Source organism: Homo sapiens, chromosome 12, assembly GCF_000001405.40.
Source record: "Homo sapiens chromosome 12, GRCh38.p14 Primary Assembly".
Taxonomy (NCBI): domain Eukaryota; kingdom Metazoa; phylum Chordata; class Mammalia; order Primates; family Hominidae; genus Homo; species Homo sapiens.
In genome coordinates this window covers 95,349,733-95,372,443 of record NC_000012.12, presented here as the reverse complement: position 1 = coordinate 95,372,443, position 22,711 = coordinate 95,349,733, and the positions used below count along the sequence as shown (strand labels likewise).

General features: G+C 41.1%; 1 long non-coding RNA gene across 1 annotated transcript in view; it reads left to right on the top strand.

Moving 5' to 3' along the window:
* Positions 1-22,711, top strand: part of LOC105369917 (uncharacterized) — a 67,929-nt gene that overhangs the window by 33,055 nt on the left and 12,163 nt on the right. The window contains exon 8 of the long non-coding RNA XR_001749265.1: positions 13,837-14,062. This is a non-coding gene — a long non-coding RNA (uncharacterized LOC105369917). The remainder of the gene's footprint in view (positions 1-13,836; positions 14,063-22,711) is intronic.

Here is a 22,711-nt window from a genome sequence, read left to right as displayed (position 1 = left end):
AGCTGAAAACTGGCCAGGAACAGTGGCTCATGCCTGTGATTCCAACACTTTTAGAGGCAGAGGTGTGAGGATTGCTTGAGCCCAGGACTTCAAGACCAGCCTGGGCAGCATAGTGGGACCCCATCTCTACCAAAAATAAAAAAATTAGCTGGGCGTGGTGCATGTGCCTGTAGTCCCAGCTACTTGGGGGAGCTGAGGTAGGAGGAGATTGCTTGAGGACAGGAGGTTGAGGCTGCAGTGAGCCATGATTGCACCACTGCCCTCTAGCCTGGGTGACACAGTGAGACCCTGTCTGAAAAACACAGGCATAAATCTTTACAATCTTGGATTCAGCAATGGTTTCCCAGACACAGTGCCAATAGCACAAGTGAGGGAAGATAAAGTAGATCAATTAGACTTAATGAATTTTAAAACATTTGTGTTGCAAACAATATAATCAAGAAAGTGAAAAGACAATCCAAAGAATGGGAGAAATTATTTGTAAATCATATATCTAATGAGGGACTTGTATCAAGAATATATAAAGAACTCTTACAACTCCACAATGAAAAGATAACCCAGTTTCTTCAGTGGGAAAAAGATCTGAATAGATATTTCCCCAAAGACATATAAGCAGCCAATAAGCCTGTGAAAAGATACTCAACATCATTTGTCATCAGGGAAATGCATACCAAAACCACCATGAAACATCACTTCACACCCACTAGAATGGCTAAACTATTTTAAGTTACTATACTTAAAAAGACGGGCAACTAGTTTTATTTATTTGTTTTATTTTCATTTTTTATTTTTTTGAGACAGAATCTTGCTCTGTCACCCAGGCTGGAATGCGGTGGCGTGATCTCGGCTCACTGCAACCTCCGCCTCCTAGGTTCAAGTGATTCTCCTGCCTCAGCCTCCTGAGTAGCTGGGATTACAGGTGCCCACCACCACACCCAACTAATTTTTGTATATTTAGTAGAGACGAGATTTTGCCACGTTGGTCAGGCTGGTCTCGAACTTCTGACCTCGTGATCTGCCTGCCTCGGCCTCCCAAAGTGCTGGGGATTACAGGCATGAGTCACCACGCCCGGCCCAGACAAGCAGTTTTTGTGAGGGTTTGGAGAAATTGGAGCCCTTATTCTTCATTAGTGGGAATATAAGTTTAGCCACTTTGGAAAACAGTCTGGCAGTTACTAAAAAAATTAAACATGGAGTTACCATATGAACACCAATTCTACTCCTATATACTCAAAAGAAATGAAAACATACATCCACACAAAAATTTGCATATGAATGTTCATAGCAGAATTATTCGTAACAGGCAAAAAGGGGAAACAACAAAAATGTCCATCAACTTAGAAAAGGATAAACAAAATGTGGTATATCCGTGCAATAGAAGATTATCCAGCCATAAATGAAGTACTGATCGATGCTACAACATGGAGGAACCTTGAAAACATGCAAAGTGAAAGAAGCCAGTAAAAAAAAGATGACAGGTTGAATGATTCCATTTATATGAAATGTTCAGGATGGGCAAATCTCAGGTTTGGGCCATAATCCCAAAAGGCACAATCCTGAGTGCTGTGACCTGGAATGATCAAAATCCCTAAAGTCTAAAGTCCCAAAAACCACAATCCCAAAAGATCAATATCTCAAAATTAGAATTCTGGAAAAAATAGGCTGGGCGCAGTGGCTCACACCTGTAATCCTAGCACGTTGGCAGGTCAAGGCAGGCAGATCACTTGAGGTCAGGAGTTCAAAACCAGCCTGGCCAACATGGTGAAACCGTGTCTTTACTAAAAATACAAAAATTAGCCAAGCGTGGTGGTGGATGCCTGTAATTCCAGCTACTCAGGAGGCTGAGGCAGGAGAATTGCTTGAACCTGGGAGGCAGAGGTTGCAGTGAGACGAGACTGTGCCACTGCACTCCAGCCTGGGCAACATGAGTGAGACTCCATGTCAAAAAAAAAAAAAAAAAAGAATTCTGGAAAAAATAATTTTTAGAAAATACAAGGACATTTATTTACATTTTTAAAGGAGATTCATTTGAGAAACATAGAAACACAACAGAATACACAATAAAAGACAATAATAATATACATATTTTTAAGCATAAACATCTAGGTATACTAACTACAGTTGCAAGAGTACAGTTACAAGTGGATGAAATGTATTATTAAAGAAATAGGTCAGAAAGCAAAATGAATAAATACATCACTATGGTTGGTAATTGCATGCACCCAGCTTTATAACCTCAGTCATCTGAAATACTGTGACCGGCAAACTAAGTCTTTTGATGAGACTGATCAAAAACCACGATGGGTCAGCACCACATATGCAGCCACCCAAAGAGCCAAGATCTCGAGAAGTTTTCTCTTTCACAAATGCATGTGCACAGAAAGGACATCTCTTCATCTATTGAGGAAGATTCAACATTTTTGCATACACACGTGACGCTTACACACAGAGTCAATGTGATAATGTACTTTTGTGAAGTCAAATTTGTAAAAAACAAAATACATAAAATGAATTAGAACTCTAAAAGTCTTTACACAATTTATACCTCCAGTATTGAAATAATGCAAAGATGAAATCCATAGCATAGCAAATTGCAAAAAAATAATGTTGACAATTTAAAATTGTGGGGAAGGGCTGGGACTCCGTGGCTCATGCCTGTAATCCCAGCACTTTGGGAGGCCGAGGTGGGCGGATAACCTGAGGTCAGGAGTTTGAGACCAGCCTGGCCAACCTGGAGAAACCCTGTCTCTACTAAAAACACAAAAATTAGCCGGACATGGTGGCGGGCACCTATAATCCCAGCTACTTGGGAGGCTGAAGCAGGAGAATCACTTGAATCTGGAAGGCGGAGGTTGCCATGAACCAAGTTTGGACCACAGCACTCCAGCCTGGGAGACAGAGTGAGACTCCATCTCAATAAATAAATTAATTAATTAAATAAAATAGTGGAGAAAATACTAAAAAAAGAAAAAAAAAACTAAAAAAATTAAGAAGAAAATTCGGCATGTGAAAAAGTATATCGATTATGGGCAATTGCACAGAGGTTGTCCATAGAGCTGACCAACTTTCACAATCATTAACTATATTTGAAGCCTCTCATGTCCATGAATACCTGCTTTCTTTTTCCCCTTTTAGGGTATGAATACATTTACAAAGAATACATTCACATTGCTTTTCTACGTGGCACTGCTCTTTTTGAAATTCTTCTGAGTTAAGATACACCAACATGAACATTCCTGTATAATGTTCACATCTTTTGTGCCATACTTCTGTGTAATTTTGGGTATACAGTAATCCACTCCACAAGCACTTTTATGGAGACCACAAATTTCACAGAAACCATGTTGTTGATTGAACTCCAACATCGTTGTGCATTCTTTTATCCTACTGTGCACATGATTATTTTTGAACCAGCCAGTAACTTTGCTGGCTTCTTCAAGCAAATTTGGCTTTAATTCATTAAAAATTCCTAGAATTTCATCAGCTGGAAGGGCTGCCAATGCAGACAAAGGATGCATTTTTATTTTTATTTTTCATTTTTTTTGAGACAGGGTCTCACTCTGTCACACAGGCTGGAGTGCAGTGATGTGATCACAGTTCAGTGCAACCTCAACTTCCCAGTCTCAAGTGATCCTCCCACCTCAGCCTCCTGAGTGTAGGACTACAGGCATATGCCACCACACCTGGCTAATTTCCTTTATTTTTTGTAGAGTTGAGGTCTCGCCATGTTGCCCAGGACTCGAACTCCTGGGCTCAAGCAATCCTCCCGCCTTGGCCTCCCAAAGTGTTGGGATTACAGGCATGAACCGCTGTGCCCAGCCAATGATGCATTTTTAAACTGAAGTTTTCATCACTGCATTATAATGTGGCCAATCCACTCACCTGAATTTTCCACCAAATGCAAATAAAGACAATGAGAAGGTAATAGTTCTGCATAACATGATGCAACTAACATGACTCAACTGTCCTAAATACAACCCAAAACGCATTAATTCCTTCCCTAGAATTCAGCTTTCTAAGATTTCCAATTTCAGGATTTTGATCTTTCAGGATTACGATTTTTGGAATTTTAGATGTTAGATATTTTAGACTCTAGGGATTTTAATGTTTCAGGCTTGCAACGTTCAGGATTATGGCATTTGGAATTGTGTCTTCAGGGATTATGACTGGCACTAGCAAATCTCTAGAGGCACAAAGTAAGTTAGTGTTTGCCTAGGGCTTAGGGGTTGGGAAAGAATGGGGTGACTGGTAATTGGAATAGGATTTTTTTGGGGGGGGTGTCAAATATGTTTTGAAATTAGATTGTGGCAATGGTTGCACAACTCCATGAATATACCAAAAACAATTGAATTCTACACTTTGAAATGAAATAAATTGTCTAGAATGTGAATGATATCTCAATAAAGCTGTTTAAAAAAAAAATCTGGCCTGGACAGCTTTGCTTCTATTTATATAGCCGAAGAGAGATTCTGAGAAGCCCTTTTATTGCAAAACACCTGGATACTGAATACATTATAACTAAGAAAATTTTAAATGTATTACTGAGTTACAAGAAAGTAAGGAAACTAGTCTTATTGTTTAATAATTCATACATAAGAAATAAAATAATGGTAAAAACAGAATAAAACCGCTAAAACCAAAATTGTAAATAATTTTTTTTTTGAGACAGAGTCTCACTCTGTCACCCAGGCTGGAGTGCATTGGTGCAATCTTGGTTCACTGCAACCTTTGCCTCCTGGGCTCAAGCGATTCTCGTGCCTCTGCCTCCTGAATAGCTGGGATTACAGGCACCTGCCACCATGTCCAGCTAATTTTTTGTGTTTTTAGTAGAGACGGGGTTTTGCTACGCTGGTCAGGCTGGTCTCGAACTCCTGGCCTCAAGTGATCTACCTGCCTCGGCCTCCCGAATTACTGGGATTACAGACATGAGCCACCACAACCGACCTATATTTTCTTTCTTCTTTAAATTTAATTTTATTTTTACTTTAATATTTTTTGGGAAACAGGTGGTGTTTGGTTACATGAATAAGTTCTTTAGTGGTGTTTCTGAGACCTTGGTGCACCCATCATCTGAGCAGTGCACACTGTACCCAATGTGTAGTCTTTTATCCCTACCCCCACCCATCCTTTCCCCCTGAGTCCCCAAAGTCTATTGTATCATTCTTATGCCTTTGTGTCCTCACAGCTTAGCTCACGCCCAGCCTATACTTTCTTATGGGGAGAGAGGGAATATGAATTGGGAGGAGTGCATCGAGGCCTTAAAGTTATTGGCATTGATAATGTTCTCTTTATTTTGCTAGGTAGTGGGTACATGGGTATGTCTTTTATTAATAATATTCTTTTTCCTATATTCTTTAAATTTCATTTAAAAAGTACACATCGCCAAGCACAGCGGCTTACGTCTGTGATCCCAGCACTTTGGGAGGCAGAGGTGGGAGGACTGCTTGACCCCAGGAGTTCAAGACCATCCTGGGCAACATAGGAAGACCCCATCTGTACAAAAAAAAAAAAAAAAGAGCCAGGCCTGGTGGCACATGCCTGTAGTCCCAGCTACCCGGGAGGCTGAGGCAGGAGGATTGCTTGAGCCCAAGAGGAGGCTGCAGTGAGCTGTGTTCCTGCCACTGCTCTCCAGACTGAGCAACAGAGTGAGACCCAGTCTCAAAAAAAAAAGAAGGAAACATATACCCTGGAAAGCATGACATTCCTATGCACAAGATCAAAAGTAAAAATTTACAGTGAATGTAATAAAAAGCCAGTAAAATATGTGTACTCAGGCTTTAGCCCATTTAAATCATTCTGTAGCAATATAAAGGTCATCAGTACTTTGGCCCAGAGTAGCAACTACACTTCATTTCCAAAGAAACTTAAGGGAACTTGATAAATTGGACTCTGAAAATCAAAAACAGAACAAAAAAACCTTGAAAATACTAGCAAGAAAATGGAAAGGCAAGCCACAGAAAGGCAGAAAATATACATAATATACATGTCTGACAAAGAACTTGTGTCCAGAGTATACAATGAATTTTTATAACTCTATAATAAATCAAATGACCCACTAAAAATACAGAAAAGATTTGAACATATTTCACAAAAGACGATATCACCAACGAACACACAAAAAAGGTTCAACGTGTTCAGCATGAGAGAAATGCAAATTACAACCACAGTGAGATATCACCTAATACCTCAATTAGAATGGCTGTAAGTAAAAGACTAACAAGACCAAGTGTTGACAAAGATGTGAAACAACTGGAACTTTCATACACTGCTTGTGGGAACAGAACATGTTATGGTGATATGAATAACATTCTGGCACTTTATAAAGTTAAACTTCTACCTACAATGTGACCCAGCAATTCCAATCCTAGGTATTTATTTACTCAAAGCTGGACACCTATTTTCACAGACTTCTACGTGAATATTGATAGCAGCTTTGTTCATAATACCCCAAACTGGAAACAATCCAAGTGTCCATCAGCTGGTAAATGGGTACACAAAATACGTGCATACAATGGAATATCATGCATCAGTACAAAGGAATGAACCACTACACAAAAACAGATCAATTTCAAAAACATGCTGAACAAAAGAAGCCAGACATGAATGAGAACGTATGGTATGATTCCGGTTATCTGAAACTCTGGAAAGGACTCGGGGGCCAAAGCGGAGTTTCTTGCAAAGGGGAAGGAGGAAAGTTTGGAGGCTAATGGAAGGGCTCTCAAACTTGATTATGGTGGTGCTTACAAGGGATCAATATTTCACCAAATGATACACTGTATTATTTTTTATTTTGTTATATTTAGAGATGGGGTCTCATTCTGTCACCCAGGCAGGAATGCAGTGGTGCCATCATAGCTCACTGCAGACTCAAACTCCTGGGCTCAAGTGATCCTCCTGCCTCAGCCTCCCAAAGTGTTGTGATCACAGGCATGAGCCACTGTGCCTGGCCTGAATGACACACTTTAAAAGGTGTGGTCATTTATATGTAAATTATACCTCCAAAAAGTTGATAAACTAAAAAACACTTCAGGAAAGAGTATAGATTCAGTGAAGGGTCAAGTAGAAGAAGAGATCCGTAAACTAGACACACTTTGAGCATCAGATATGAAAAATGAAGCTGGGTGTAGTGGCTCACGCCTGTAATCCCAGCAGTTTGGGAGGCCAAGGCAGGCAGATTGCTTGAGCTCAAGAGTTCGGGACCAGCCTGGTAACATAATGAGACTGCAACCAGAAAAAAAAAAAATTAGGTGGGTGTGGTGGCAAGCACCTGTACTTCCAGTTACTTGGGAGGCTGAGGTGGGCAGACTGCTTGAGCCGGGGCAGTGGAAGTTGCAGTGAGCCAAGACCGTGCCACTGCACTCCAGCCTGGGGGACAGAGTGAGACCCTGCCTCCAAAATAAGAAAAAAAATGTGAAAAATGAAATTTTGCTGTATATATGAAGAGACATGGACTAGAGAGTACTGGGGGATGTTGCCAAATCATAATGAGTTCTTATTTGTTGAAGTGGTTCAGACAAAAAAAAGTGCAGTTGTTTTCTGTTATTTTATTCATTCTTTTTATAACTGCTACCTCATTATCTTTCTGGCTCAGTCTGTTAATTATATAAACTCAAAGAAACAATCCCTGGCCGGGCGCGGTGGCTCACGTCTGTAATCCCAGCACTTTGGGAGGCCGACACAGGTGGATCACAAGGTCAGGAGTTTGAGACCAGCCTGGCCAACATGGTGAAATCCTGTCTCTACTAAAAATACAAAAATTACCCGGGCGTGATGGCAGGTGCCTATAATCCCAGCTACTCCAGAGGCTGAGGCAGGAGAATCACTTGAACCCGGGAGGTGGCAGTTGCAGTGAGCTGAGATCATGCCATTACACTCCAGCCTGGGTGACAAGAGCAAGACTTTGTCTCAAAAAAAAAAAAAGAAAGAAACAATTCCTACAGGGCCCATGCACCTGTGGAGGGAGATAGTCATGTTTCAGGAATTTGGGGGTTTCGTATATTATTTTTTTGGACCTAATATTTGCATTTACTAATCATTTGGGGGGGAAAGCTTTTTCTTGGTCCTTTTGCCTTTATATTTTTCAAAGATTTATTTCTCACGATTAGTGGTCATGCCTGCAAAATATCATATCTTGTCAACTCCATTTATTGTCTCTCTTTGATAGCGAATTGTGTTTTTCAGCAATGCAGGGAAAATTTTCTGTCAATTTCACTCTATTTAAATTGGCAGAAAATTAAAAGAAAACCTCTCAAGGATTCAGTTTGGTTGTGATTAACCAATTCAGTAAACATGTAACAGGGAGAGGCCTTAAAAAATGCAGTGCCAATGTGTGGGGTTTTGATGTTCAAGATATTTTTGTGCATAGAAAAATGCAATCACTTTGGTTTTAAAAGTAAAATTCATTTTATTAGCAACCCATTAAAAACCCTCTCTTCACTAAGTTTTAAGGCCATTAAAAATCTATCTATTTTATCTGTAAACTCTAAGGTAACAATTGTCTTTACCTTTTCCTTGATAAATGTTTGTTTAACGCAAATTGAGCTGATTAAACTTTCTATAAAAATTAGACTCATATACAATTTAATGAATAACAACCCTTCATATATGTGTGTGTGTGTATATATATACACATATATATACATATATACACATATATACATATATACACATATATACATATATACACATATATATACATATATACGCATATATATACATATATACACATATATACATATATAAACATATATACATATATACACATATATATACATATATACACATATATATACATATATATACACATATATACATATATACACATATATATACATATATACATATGTATACATATATACATATGTATACATATATACACACATATATACATATATACACATGTATACATATATACACATATATACATATATACACATATATACATATATACACATATATACATATATACACATATATACATATATACACACGTATACACATATATACACATATATATACACACATACACATATATACACATAAACACACATATATACATATATACACACATATATACACATATACACGCATATATACATATATACACACATATATACATATATACACATATATATACACATATATACATATATACACATATATACATATATATATATATATATATATATATATATATATATATATATATAGTGCTTGTGTGTGTGTGTATGTGTAGATGGAGGTCTCACTGTGTTGCCCAGGCTGGTCTCCAATCAATTCTTTTTTTTTTTGGAGACGGAGTCTCATTCTGTTGCCCAGGGCTGGAGTGCAGTGGCACAATCTCAGCTCACTGCAACCTCGGCCTCCCTGGTTCAAGTGATTCTCTTGCCTCAGCCCCTCAAGTAGCTGGGAATACAGGCACCTGCCACAAGGCCTGACTAATTTTTGTATTTTTAGTAGAGACAGGGTTTCACCATGTTGGCCAGTTGGTCTTGAACTCCTGACCTCAGGTGATCAGCCCGCCTCTGCCTCCCAAAGTGCTGGGATTACAGGCATAAGCCACCTCGCCCAACCTGGTTTCCACCTATTGGGCTCAAGCAACCCTCTCACTTTGGCCTCTCAATGTGCTGGGGTTACAGGTGTGAGCCACTGCACCTGGCCCCCTTCATATATTTTAAAGTGCATTTATATTTTGAATATATTTTGTTCCCCTTTAAGTACTTCCCCTTTAAGTATTTATAACCCTAACAAGAAAAACATTCTCAAGTTCTTAACTTTGATAAAGCAAATAAATTAAATTTGGAGGAATCTCAAGTTCTCTTAAATATTCCAATTATATTTTTGAACTTAGTCAAACTACCTTAAACTTATAAACTTAATAATCACAAATCTAAAATCAGTTTACTCAAATTTAAGTTGAAAGCCCAAAGGAAATCTCTCACATTCTCTAACTGGCTGAAATCTCTTTAATATTTCAAACATAATAAATACACAAGATTATCTCATAACTCAAAATTTATTCATATACGTTAAAGTTTTAATATTGTGGGATTAATTTATCTCTCTACTTAAATTTTAAACTTTTCTGAAGTTTATTTACCCACCAAATTTTGGAGGCTGAGACTCAGGAACTAATATACACATTTTTTAGTGATTTTTATCAATCCCACAAATGGGTTCTCTGAGTCTTTTTTGAATTCATTATGACAAGGAAGTTCAAGTCCCTGCCCTTCAGATGTGGTTGATTTTTCCGGGATTCAAGATAAAATCTCAACTTTTATTGCCTGATTTCTGTAGACCAAATTCCCCAAAACTCTCCCTATTATCCACTTCAATAATCTCTTCATGGGTCGTTGAATCCTGTGTTCTCTTCATATTCTTCCTGGTTTCTGCACACTTTCCTCTGGGTCTGCTGTGACGTGCCAAAATTATGCAAATTACACCTGGATAATGAGTTAAGTATACAATCATGCCTAATTTTATATGTAAGTATGTAAATGTCCAAGCCGAGGTCATGCCATTGCACTCCAGCCTGGGCAACAAGAGTGAGACTCTGCCTCAAAAAAAATAAAAAATAAAAACCCCACAAAAAAACTAAATTATCAACAATTTTTCTAGTCACATGAGCTCATCCAAATGAAAATAACTATATACCCAATATGTTTTGAAAAGATCACACATACTACTCACTATAACAATATACTTTAATGTCTTCATGATGTACTTCTTAGAAACTTCTGCTAAATAGAAAGTCAATATTACAAACATTAAATTTCCTACTTATGCTCTGGTAACATTCTACTTCCATCTAACACAGCCCCTGTACTGTATGGTAATTGTTAACCCAACCAGTTCTTCACTGACTGTGAGCTCCTTGGTGGAGGGAAATGGCTTTTTCTTACCCCCTTTTTATTGCAGTCAGATATACATGACATAAAATTTACCTTCTTAACATTTTTAAGTTTGTAATTCAGTGGCATTAAGTATATTCACAAGGGAATGTGGATCTTTTGTTTTGTTTTGTTTTTTGTTTTGAGATGGAGTCTTGCTCTGTCTCCCAGGCTGGAGTGTAGTGGCATGATCCCAGCTCACTGCAACCTCCACCTCCCGGGCTCAAGTGATTCTCCTACCTCAGCCTCCCAAGTAGCTGGGATTACAGGCGTGTGCCACCACATCCAGCTGAGTTTTGTATTTTTAGTAGAGACGGGGTTTCACCATGTTGGCCAGGCTGGTCTCAAACTCCTGACCTCAAGTGATCTGCCAGCCTTGGCCTCCCAAGGTAATGTGGATTTTTATATATGTCTTTAGTCTTAGTTTTTGTACCTGGCCCATAAATGGCATAAACACTTGTTGAATGACCTACCTAATGAATGAACAAGTGACAGAATTGATGTTTGCTAATCATGTATATAGTAAATACTCTCTCTCTATATATATGTGTGTGTGTGTGTGTGTGTGTGTGTGTGTGTGGAACACACATCTTTCTGTTTTGAAGCCTTCAAGTTTAACAGACCCAGTGGATACAGATACATTTGATCCAGCAGTGGACATAAGCCCCATGCGTGACATTGCCACAGCTATCAAGCTAAGAAGACTGTAGAGAAAAGTCCGGCACATCCTCATTCACTGGCTATAATCAGTACAGATTTGCATTGGGTCAGTTATGGAATCCATTGTGTTGCTTCATAATAGCCGGTTCCCATCATTCAGACTTCCAGAGAACCAGCATTTAAATACCTCTTCCCTCCTTCCTGAGGTGGTGAGTTTGTAAACTGTAAAGCCCTATGCAGAAGGATTCTTGTCATGGATGCAGGTGATAGACTGTAGCAGGAAAAGAGAAGCAAACTTGATTTTATTTCCTTTCTCTTTTTGAAGAAAAGAATATATCTGGCCACTTCTGTGTTTTCTTAAGGAGAGGTGCTTTCATACTCATTTTTTGGATTGGAAAATGCTCTCACCCCTCAACCATCACCTCTTAGCGTTCCCACCAAAACCTCAATCCTTGCCCATGTCTTTGGTTCACCTGCTGTGTTGAGAAGAGGCCTGTGTTCCCACAGTGGAGTGTGCCGTTGCAATGTTAACTCGTAGTTGGTGTTAACTACAGAGCCTATCACAGTTTCAGTTCTTGACTGATGATATAACACGGTTTATTCTCGTTATTCATGGAAATTAGGTTCTGTAAAGTCTTGGCAAACACTAAGCAAATACTGAACCATTGCTGGTAGGGGTAGCTCCCAGGGTCACAATATTTTCGTCAATTGATCAATACATAACCTCATTTTACGTGTTTCTCTTTAAAAACACCTTATTTACTAGATATCGTTGATACATTAACATTGACTTTATGGCCAACAGCACTTTAACTCACCCTGAAAGTTTACTTACCACGTGTATTTTTTCTGTAAGGCACATCACAGACTTCTTGAGCTTAGAACACTAGACAACACATCAGTATTGCACTTGCAGCTCATTTTAAACAGCATCACCAACAACAGCACAGAAATGCAAGAAACACGCCACTAAACAGACCACAAAGAGACACGTTTACAGTATCCCTGAAACAAGAAGAGCGTAGGCTTGTTCGACCTCAGCTGGGAACATTCACAAGAGGTAACTCAAATTTTTCACTGCTCTGCACCTATCTGTGAATGACAACAAGAGTGCCACCAATACTGACACTGAGGTTTACAAATAAATTTTAGCAAGCAGTCAAAGACATGATACACAATCTGTGAATAGTGCACGTTGACTATATGCTAAATCCAAAGGCAAGCTTCTCCATTTGGGGAGGTAGTTTGCTGTATACTGTGGTATAGAGTAGAGCTTCCCAAAGGGTGTGCCTCAGATGTTGTACACAGGAACTGAAAAGTGGACATTACCAGCCTTCAGGGCCACTCAGCTGGGCTGGGGTGATTAAGCCACTGGGATAGTTGCTTCCACCCACAAGCAGCCTAGTAAATTTATCCCAGTGTGCCACACAAATACATCATCTTTTCTTTTCTTTTTCTTGTTTTTTTAGACATGATCTGGCTCTGATGCCCAGGCTGGAGTGCAGTAGCACGTCAGCTCACTACAACATCCGCCTCCTGGGCTTAAGTGATCCTCCCACCTCAGCCTCCCAGTAGCTGGTACTGCAGGTGTACACTACCATGCCCAGCTAATTTTTTTTTTGTAGAGACAGTGGTTTCACCATGTTGCCTAGGCTGGTCTCAAATTCCTGGGCTCAAGCAATCCACTCACAACCGCCTCCCATAGTGCTGGGATTACAGGCATGAGCCACTGCACCTGGCCTTCTTTCTTAATAGTACATTTTCTATGATAAGGATCTATATGTATATGTGCTTTACAATTTACACTTTTCCATGTGATGTAAAAAAAATGGGAAGCACTGGTCTCTATAGAGCATGGTAAGTAAAAGCTCAGTCTGGAATCACATAGGCCTGTCGAAATCCTGATTCTGCCTCTGTCTAGCCAAGTGACTTGAACTTATCTGTGATATCATGAAAATAAGAGTATTCAACTCATGGGGGCACTTCCTTCAATGGGATAATGTATTTAAAGTGCCTGGCTCATTTCCCGGTACAAGATAAGTGCAATCAAACTCTTACGGTTTAGATTTGTTGATAGCCTGGAAACTTTCTTTATTACATAGATGCCATGTGTCCTCTGAGTAGAACAAGAGGTGCATTTAAAATTGAAGAACGAACAGAAGGAACTTCTGTAAATGGGTGAAGGAGCATCCAGACTATAGCAGCCAACTTAACCCAAACAGCTCAGCCTACAGATGCCTTGGTCTACTGAGGCTGCTGGGAGGAATACATTTTGTTTACATTTCAGGAATGGAACCGCAGCACATTTGCAAAATAACCAAGTTTCCACAAATAGTACCCAGGAAAGAGAACGCCTCATCAGCAAAAGTTTCTCTGAAACAAGGTGCAAAGGAGAAAGGCGAGGATAAGGAGTACCTTCAATGCCGAAATACCTTCCTAGAACAAAAGGGTGTCTTGAAGCCTTTGCCTCTTTGTCACATCCGGAAGGCCCCAGCCGGCAATCAGACCTTCCGGTAACCAGCTTCCTTTGCCTTAATAATTCATAGCCCAGCTCATGTTTGGGTTAAGGAGTGGCCACTTTCATGCAATCAACTGAAAATCTTTCCTAAAACTGGGACAAATGCACATGCCCAGATTCAAGCCTTTGAGCTCTCCTCAGTCTGCTTGCTAAGAGGCTTCCTGTTTAGCAGTGGAGCCACATCAATCTGGGATCATGACTCAGTTTGTTTTCATTTCTTTAGTGAATGCTTGTTCAAAACCTGGCCCTATGCTGAAAAGTCCTTAATCTATACTTGGTGATAGTATATAAGTGCCACAAGTTCCTGCTTCTCTTGCCTTCTCATACCAACTCTCCTGGGGGAAATGTGCCCTTATTATCTTCACCAGCATAAAATGCCCTGTTCTTTCTGCATTTGTATCTCCAGGACTAGCCACCAAACAGGGCTGCTTCCTACCTCAGGCAGAGAAGGCCGTGTGTCACTCTCTCCAGGTTTAGGTAGCATGTGGGAGGGAAGGGGGTTGCTGCAGGAGCAGCTTGGTCTCTCTACTGCGTGGCAGCCTTTGGAAGCCTTAAGCGAAGCCTTGCCCCCTAACACCACACATGCTGTAATTTAGCTGAGCACACATCTTCCAAGACCCCCCAGGAGCTGAGACTCCCTCGAGCTCCCAAACCTAATATCGCTTCAGTAACATTTGGTGCAGACTGTGCATTGAAAGAAAAGTTGTAAATACAATGAGGGCAATGTTTCCTGTATTCGAAGTATTGCCATGATACTTTACTAACGCCACTAAAGCAAGCAGTGCTGTCAGACCCCTGACCGTGGTATGAATTCATGCAACCAGTGGCTGTTATCCGCTACTGACAGGTGTGTGAGCTAGGCCCAGGGGGCAACATAAAGACTTGGCCCCAGTCTTCCCAAGGCTTCAAGGCTGCAGGAAGACGTAAGATAGTGTATACTATTAATAAATGAAAAATAAGGAAGGAGGCCGGGCGCGGTGGCTCACGCCTGTAATCCCGGCACTTTGGGAGGCCGAGGCGGGCAGATCACAAGGTCAGGAGATCGAGACCATCCTGGCTAACACGGTGAAACCCCGTCTCTACTAAAAATATAAAAAATTAGCCGGGCGCGGTGGCGGGCGCTTGTAGTCCCAGCTACTCGGGAGGCTGAGGCAGGAGAATGGCGTGAACCCGGGAGGCGGAGCTTGCAGTGAGCCGAGATCGCGCCACTGCACTCCAGCCTGGGTGACAGAGCGAGACTCCATCTCAAAAAAAATAAATAAATAAGGAAGGAACTGCTAGCAGAGCTGTATAGATAGAACGCTAAAGAAGTTTTGGGGAGGGAGAGTATTTTTGGAAAGAAAAGGTTATTTATTTATTTATTTTCATTTATTTATTTATTTTGAGACAGGGTCTCACTCGGTCACCAGGCTGGTGCAGTGGTGCAGTCTCGGCTCATTGCAACCTCCACCTCCTGGGTTCGAGTGATTCTCCTGCCTCGCCTGCCGAGTAGGCGGGACCACAGGCACCTGCCACCACGCCGGCTAATTTTTGTAGTTTTAGTAGAGATGGGGTTTTGCCATGTTGGCCAGTCTGGTCTCGAACTCCTGGCCTCAAGCCATCCGCCCACCTTGGCCTCCCAAAGTGCAGGGATTATAGGCGTGAGCCATCGCACCTGACCAGAAAGACAGGATTATTTTATAGTGCATTTTTGACCAGAGTCTTGAGTGAGGGGGAGAATTGGGATAGGCAGGTAAGGAGGGTTGGGTATTCTAGGTGGAGAGATGAGTGATGAGAAGGATAGTAATGACCCTAATAATGTTAGGGATGGTTAACATTTGCTGACCAGTTACCATACACTAGACACCATGCTAAACACTCTACTTGCAGGATTTCATTTAACGTTCACAACACACCTAAGGGATTAATTATAATTAGTTAATTATAATTATAACCCTCACTGTCCTCCCCAGCCCCCATTTTAGAGCTAAAGCAACTGAGGCTCAGAGAGGTTAGGTAATTTGCCCAAAGACACAGCTAGTGAGCAGCAACACAGGGGTTGGAGCAAAGTCACGTAGGAGGGACAATGCAGGCAAATCGTAGGAATGCTGAGCAGTTTGGTTTTGCTGGGTCTTAGGGCGACACGAATGATAGGCAGGGTTGGGGCCATATCATGGCCCCTTGACCTCAGGCCAGAACTGTGTGCAAATAACAAAATTATCCCAATCCTTTAAAATCTGCAACGATGAAGCGAGCAGGCACTGTGCAAGGCAGCTCCAAAATGTTTATTCAGACTTTCGAATTTACGAAGTCAAAACCCAATCATTTCACATGTCACTGTAAAATTATTTTTATGGCTCAGTTACTCAAATAGCAATGACATTTGAAGAGATTAATACCAATTCAATAAGGGCTTTATTTATTTCTGCAAAAACTTAACTGCAACTTTTAAATCCACAACTGGACTCTAAATCTTGAATTAAAAAACATAAAGACTTCACCTAACCTATGAATTAAAAATAAGCACCATGTGCAAGAACATCTATCTTTCCTGTGATCACTCCTCTGTATGGTTTCCATGCTGGAGTTCCATTTCCAACCAAATCCTGTGTTTGACTTGCGATGGATAGGCTGATACCTGGTGGAGGGACAACAGCATAATGTCCTGATACGACACAAGTAGAATGTATTCGCTACGTGAACTTCTGCAATCATGTGCCTCTCTAAGCTTCTCTTCCTCTCTTCCTTCCTTCTTTCCTTCCTCCCTCCCTCCTTCCCTCCCTCCCTCCCTCCTTTCTTTCTTTCTTTCTTTCTCTTTCTTTTTCTTTCTCTCTTTTCTTTCTTTCTCTCTTTCTTCTTTCTTTCCTTTCTATCTTCTTTCTCTTTCTTCCTTCCGCACCCGGCTATATTTTATTTTATTTTATTTTATTTTTGAAATGAAATCTCGCTCTGTCACCCAGGCTGGAGTGCAGTGGCACAATCTCAGCTCACCAAAACCTTCACTTCCCGGGTTCAAGTGATTCTTCTGCCTCAACCTCCTGAGTAGCTGGGATTACAGGCGTGAGCCACCGTGCCCAGCTAAATTTTTGTATTTTTAGTAGAGACAGCATTTTACCATGCTGGCTAGGCTTGTCTCAAACTCCTGACCTCAGGTGATCTGCCTGCCTCAGCCTCCCAAAGTGCTGGGATTACAGGCGTGAGCCATCGCGCCCAGCTTCTGTTTCTTTCTTTTGCTTTTTACTTCCTCTGTAATTGCAGAATAAGCTTCTGTTTCCTTATGTGTAAAAAGCACAATAATAATACCTACTTCACAAGGTTGTGTAAGGATGAAATGAGACAAGCTTATCAAGTTTTTGGCACTGTGTCTACCAATCTGTAACTCCTCAGTGCAAGATGGTTAATGTTATATTCCACCTGTAAGTGAGAGATGTATGCTGTTTTATCATGTGTCTGAGAAACTCAGTGAGATTCCCTATATCTATGGGTATACGGAGAGGCTTGTTAATTTCCCTAACTTTAAAAAAATGTTTACTTCTATTTTAAGTAGCCCAAAGACCCAATTCGTGGAGGGCTGAGCCAATTTCTTTTTAGGACGTGGTCTGCGGATCCTCCTCATGGTAACTTTGTCTTTCCATTCCCTTCCAATAAACTCAGCACCTTCCACCATGATGCACATTGAAAGCTGAAGTTGCCGATACAACCCTCAAAATGCAAGTTTATTGAAAAACCTGAGAAGAGCACTAAACAGACCAAAAATACCTTCATCCAAACTTTAAAATTTATTTTTTGCCAACTTCAGTAACTGTTTTCACATGAGAAGTCAATGCACAGGAAAATGCTGGTTTTATGGTAGTATTTAGATGTCTTGAAATGCTGAGGGCAATGAGCAGACACACAAACACATTAAGGTTTAGCTGCAGATCAATTAACAAACCTACAAGGTCCCTATGTAATCACACTTTCTAGTTCCAGTTGCTCCTTTTAGACACAAGCAAGTTGCCACATTTTTTGTAATGATTCACAGTCACCATTTATGGTATTGAAATACAGTGGCAAGGGTAAACATCCCTTCATTTCCAGAACCATCCATCCCAGTATGCAACATGCTTCTGAGAATAAGGACAGAATTATTTTTAAAGCCCATTTACTACTGATAAAAAAGAAAAAGGATGTCTATGCAACAGTGTGCAGGTTTTTTGACAAGGCTAGAGCAGACTATAAATTAAAAGTGATATTCAGTCAGATAACTTACTTTGAGCACTGTCTATATAAGTGCTATTTGACAAAAGGAATATAGTCACTCATAGTGTGAGGCAACGCATAAGCAGGGTATCAGAGAGTTTTATCTGCTATCACGGTCTATACAAATAACAATTTACCAGTGAACGAGTATTAACATATCCCTTTCCCTAACTTTTTATGCTTTGTTTCTAATTTTTTCAGAAAGTGCACATTTTAAGTGGTGCACCAAATATTTGTGGTGATATTGGTAAATATTTGTTTTTCTTTTAGAGATGGGGTCTCACTCTGTCACCCAGGCCAGAGTACAGTGGCACAATCATAGCTCGCTGCATCCTCAAACTCCTGGGCTCAAGAGATCCTCCCACCTCAACCTTCCAAGTAGCTGGGACTACAGGTATGCACCACCAGGCCTGGCTAATTTTTTTATTTTTTGTAGAGACAGGGTCTTGCTATGTTATCCAGGCTGGTTTTGAACTCTTGGTCTCAAGTGATCCTCCCACCTCAGCCTCCCAAAGTGCTGTGATTATAGGCATAAACCACCATGCCTAGCCAACATTTTAAAAAAAGTTTCCACATACAGCACTGAGTGAATATTTTTAATTGAACACCTGGAGTCATTTCTGTCTTCATCCTTCCTCATAGAACCCTGGGTTTATTTAGTGTCTGCCCATTCCCTCAATCACCCAGATGCATCGGGGGCAGTTGACCACAGCCAAAGCTCCAAGGATGAGCCTTGGGATTTAAGGCAATTGAGAATTTTCATGTATCTGGCAACAGTCATTGGTCGGTGGGGTTGGGGGTGAGCATGTGACACAAGACATAGTGAGTCCCAGGCTTTTGGTTTGGAATGCTGGCATCAGAAGCCCACTCTCCTCTGTAATGGTTGTTCTGAGTAGGTGTGAGACCTGGAGCTGGTTGGCCATCTGTTACCTTCCTGCAGAAGAAGCTGACACAGAAGACGAGGGGGATAGATCTGGAGCCACTGGGCAGTGCCACCTGCAAAGCCCTGCCTCTAGACTTCCAATTGTGGGAGCCCGTAAGTGTCCTTAGTAAGCCAGTTTGAGCTGCATTACTTGCAGCCAAAGAAAGGCATCCTTACTGATATAACACGTGATACAATAGGCCTCTAGGTTTTTACCTTTATTACCCTTTAATAGTCTCTGTGGTAAGATATTAGCAAGGAGTTAAAGTAAACCTGAGTGTTCAATTCATCCTATGGTAACTAAAAGTCTTTTAATCCTTTTTTTCAGTTATTTATTCCGTCATTTTTTATGTTTAGGATTCTAAACATACATTTTTAAAATAACTTTTAAGGCCAGGCATGGTGGCTCACATCTGTAATCCCAGCACTCTGGGAGGCTGAAGTGGGCAGATCATGAGGTCAGGAGTTTGAGACCAGCCTGGCCAACATGGCGAAACCCCGTCTTTACCAAAAATACAAAAATTAGACAGCGTGGTAGTGCATGCCTGTAATCTTAGCTACTCAGGAGGCTGAGGCAGGATAATTGCTTAAACCCAGGAGGTAGAAGTTGCAGTGAGCTAAGATGGCACCATGACTTGAGGTCAGGAGTTTGAGACCAGCCTGGCCAACATGGCGAAACCCTGTCTCTACTAAACATACAAAAATTAGCTGGCATGGTGGCAGGTGGCTGTAATCCCAGCACTTTGGGAAGCTGAGGCACATGGATCACCTGAGGTCAGGCGTTTGAGATCAGCCTGGCCAACATGGCAAACCTTGTCTCTACTAAACATACAAAAATTAGCCAGGTGTGGTGGCGTGTGCCTGTAATCCCAGCTACTTGGGAGGCTGAGGCAGGAGAATCGCTTGAACCCAGGAAGTAGAGGTTGCAGTGAGCTGAGATCGTGCCACTGCACTCCAGCCTGGGCAACAGAGTGAGACTTCGTATAAAAAAATAGAATTAGCTTTCTCTGTATGTTTTGGAATTTTGGATTCTGGGCTCATCTTGAGTGGAAGGTTTTTCCTTTCTCTTTCTCTGTGTGTGTGTTGGGGCAGATGGGTGGGTGCGGGTGTGTGTGCGCATGAGCAAGGTTTCCTCCCATTTAGTGGTTGAACCAGGTCTAATAATGGTGGCTTGGATGTCTCACTTCATGAATATTAGAACTATTGCAGATCCAGTCTCCAGGCCAGCAAGCAGTTTAGCTTAGTCCTGGTTGGGCGGCCGTGGCCATGTTCTCTCATCTGCCTGGGCACGAAGCATCCTGTGAGCCATCATGTGGCCAAGCAGGAGTAGACAGCAGCTATTCTAGCCTCATGCGGAGTAGTGGAAGCCCTACCCTGGTTCTTGGATTCAAGAAGCAAAACAGGCAACATCCCCCACCCTGCTCTCCAGCCTGGAGAGGGGCATTTTATTTTATTCTGTTTTCCCACAAGAGCTAAATTCATATCTGCTTTCGCTGCTTCTAGACCTAGAGCCAAGCAAGCCTGTGGCTTCAGCCCCGCAAATCTATTGATTTGGCTTCCATGCACAGGGTGTTCATCTTGGTTGGAGTGCAGCTTTGTCCTTTAGATTGCTTCTTTTTCTCTTTTACCTCTCATTGCCATGTGTTTGAGGCAGGAGGTTGGAAGCTTTGCTCAAAGCAAGGACTTAAAATGCCTTTTTGAGCAGAGGTAGAGGGTTGTAGCTTGAAACTTGACTTTTAGTGATTCCACAGACACCAGCTGACACATCAGAATTATTCAGGGATGCTCAGAATGCCACTCCAGGAACCTGATGTTGCCACGCTGTGTTTACCTGCCGTAAACCCCAGGAAAGGAAAGGTGGGGATGGAGGAGTCAGTGGTCATTGGAAAACAAGAAGAGTGTCACTGAAGCTGGGAGTCTTAGAAGCCTGTTCTTACAGGGTGGAGATCAGAGCTTTAATTCAAATGCATCTGATTTCTTTGATATAAATCCCTGCCTCTGGCTCTCAGCTCTCTGCAGGCACCTAGCCACTGGTGAAGGTGTTGTTGATTCTCTTGCTACTTCTTATGGCCCACTCATATTTTATACCAAACCATACACTCTGAAAGTTCTTTTCTCTTTTTTTTTTTTTTTTTTTGTCATTGTGCTCTTCAGGATATAAGATAGCTAATAGCTCACTCTGGAAATAGCATTAATACATTGGGGTGAGGGGGAAGTGGAGGACTCATTTTATCAGATGTTAAGGTTTTTATGACGTGATAGTAACTAAGATATTGTAGTATTGGCACCAGGCTAGTTAAATAGACCAATGGAACAGAAATAGAAAGACCTGACTGACCCAGGAACATGGGGAAACTTGATTTACAACAGAGATCGAATTACAAACCAGGAGGAATGGATTATTCAATCAATGGTGCTGGGACAACTGATTATCTATCTTAGATTCCTATTTTCCATAATAAACTCCAGGTAAAGAGCTAATCATTAAAAGCCAAATAATAAAACATTTAGAAGAAAACATCAGGATAATTTTTTCTTATCACCTTCAGGTAGAAAATTGTTTTGTTTTTTTTTTGAGACAGTCTTGCTCTGTCAACCAGGCTGCAGTTCAGTGGCGTGATCTGCTCACTGCAACCTCCACCTCCCAGATTCAAGCAATTGTCCTGCCTCAGCCTCCCAAGTAGCTGGGATTACAGATTACAGGTACACACCACCACACCCGGCTAATTTTTGTATTTTTAGTAGAAACGGGGTTTCACCCTGTCGGCCAGGCTGGCCTCAAACTCCTGACCCGCCCGCCTCGGCCTCCCAAAGTGCTGGGATTACAGGCATAAGCCACCTCGCCTGGCTGAAAATAAATTCTTAAACCAAATGCACACCAAAAAATCACAAACATAAGGGATAGGATTAATTAGTTTAACTATATTAAAATAAAAATCTTCCATATAAAAAGGACACCATAAGCAGAAGGAAAAGACAAGCCACAGATGGAGACAAATGTTAGCAAAATATATGATTGGCAAATAGACCCTTTGCTGAACAATATGGCAATGTCTAGTAAAATTGAAGGCACGAATAATCCAGAGAAATTCTATACCGTAGGAAATGTGCAAAAATTTCATTGCAGCAGTTCTCTGTAGTAAAAAATTGGAAATTATGTAAATGTCCATCAACAAGAGAATGTATCAGTTGTTTGTTGTGGACAACTGCCATTGGCTCTTATCATGCAGCATCTATACCTCCCTCCTAAGTTTGGGGACTCCCCTACCTGCTGAGGCAGAGTCCCCTCCCACAATAAAAGCCAAAAATACCACTTTTTTTTTTTTTTTTTTCCCTGAGACAGCCTCCCTCTGTCACCCAGGCTGGAGTGCAGTGGCGCAATCTTGGTTCATTGCAACCCCTACCTCCCGGGTTCAAGCAATTCTGCCTCAGCCTCCCGAGTAGCTGGGACAACAGGCATGCACCACCATGCCTGGCTAATTTCTTTGCATTTTTAATAGA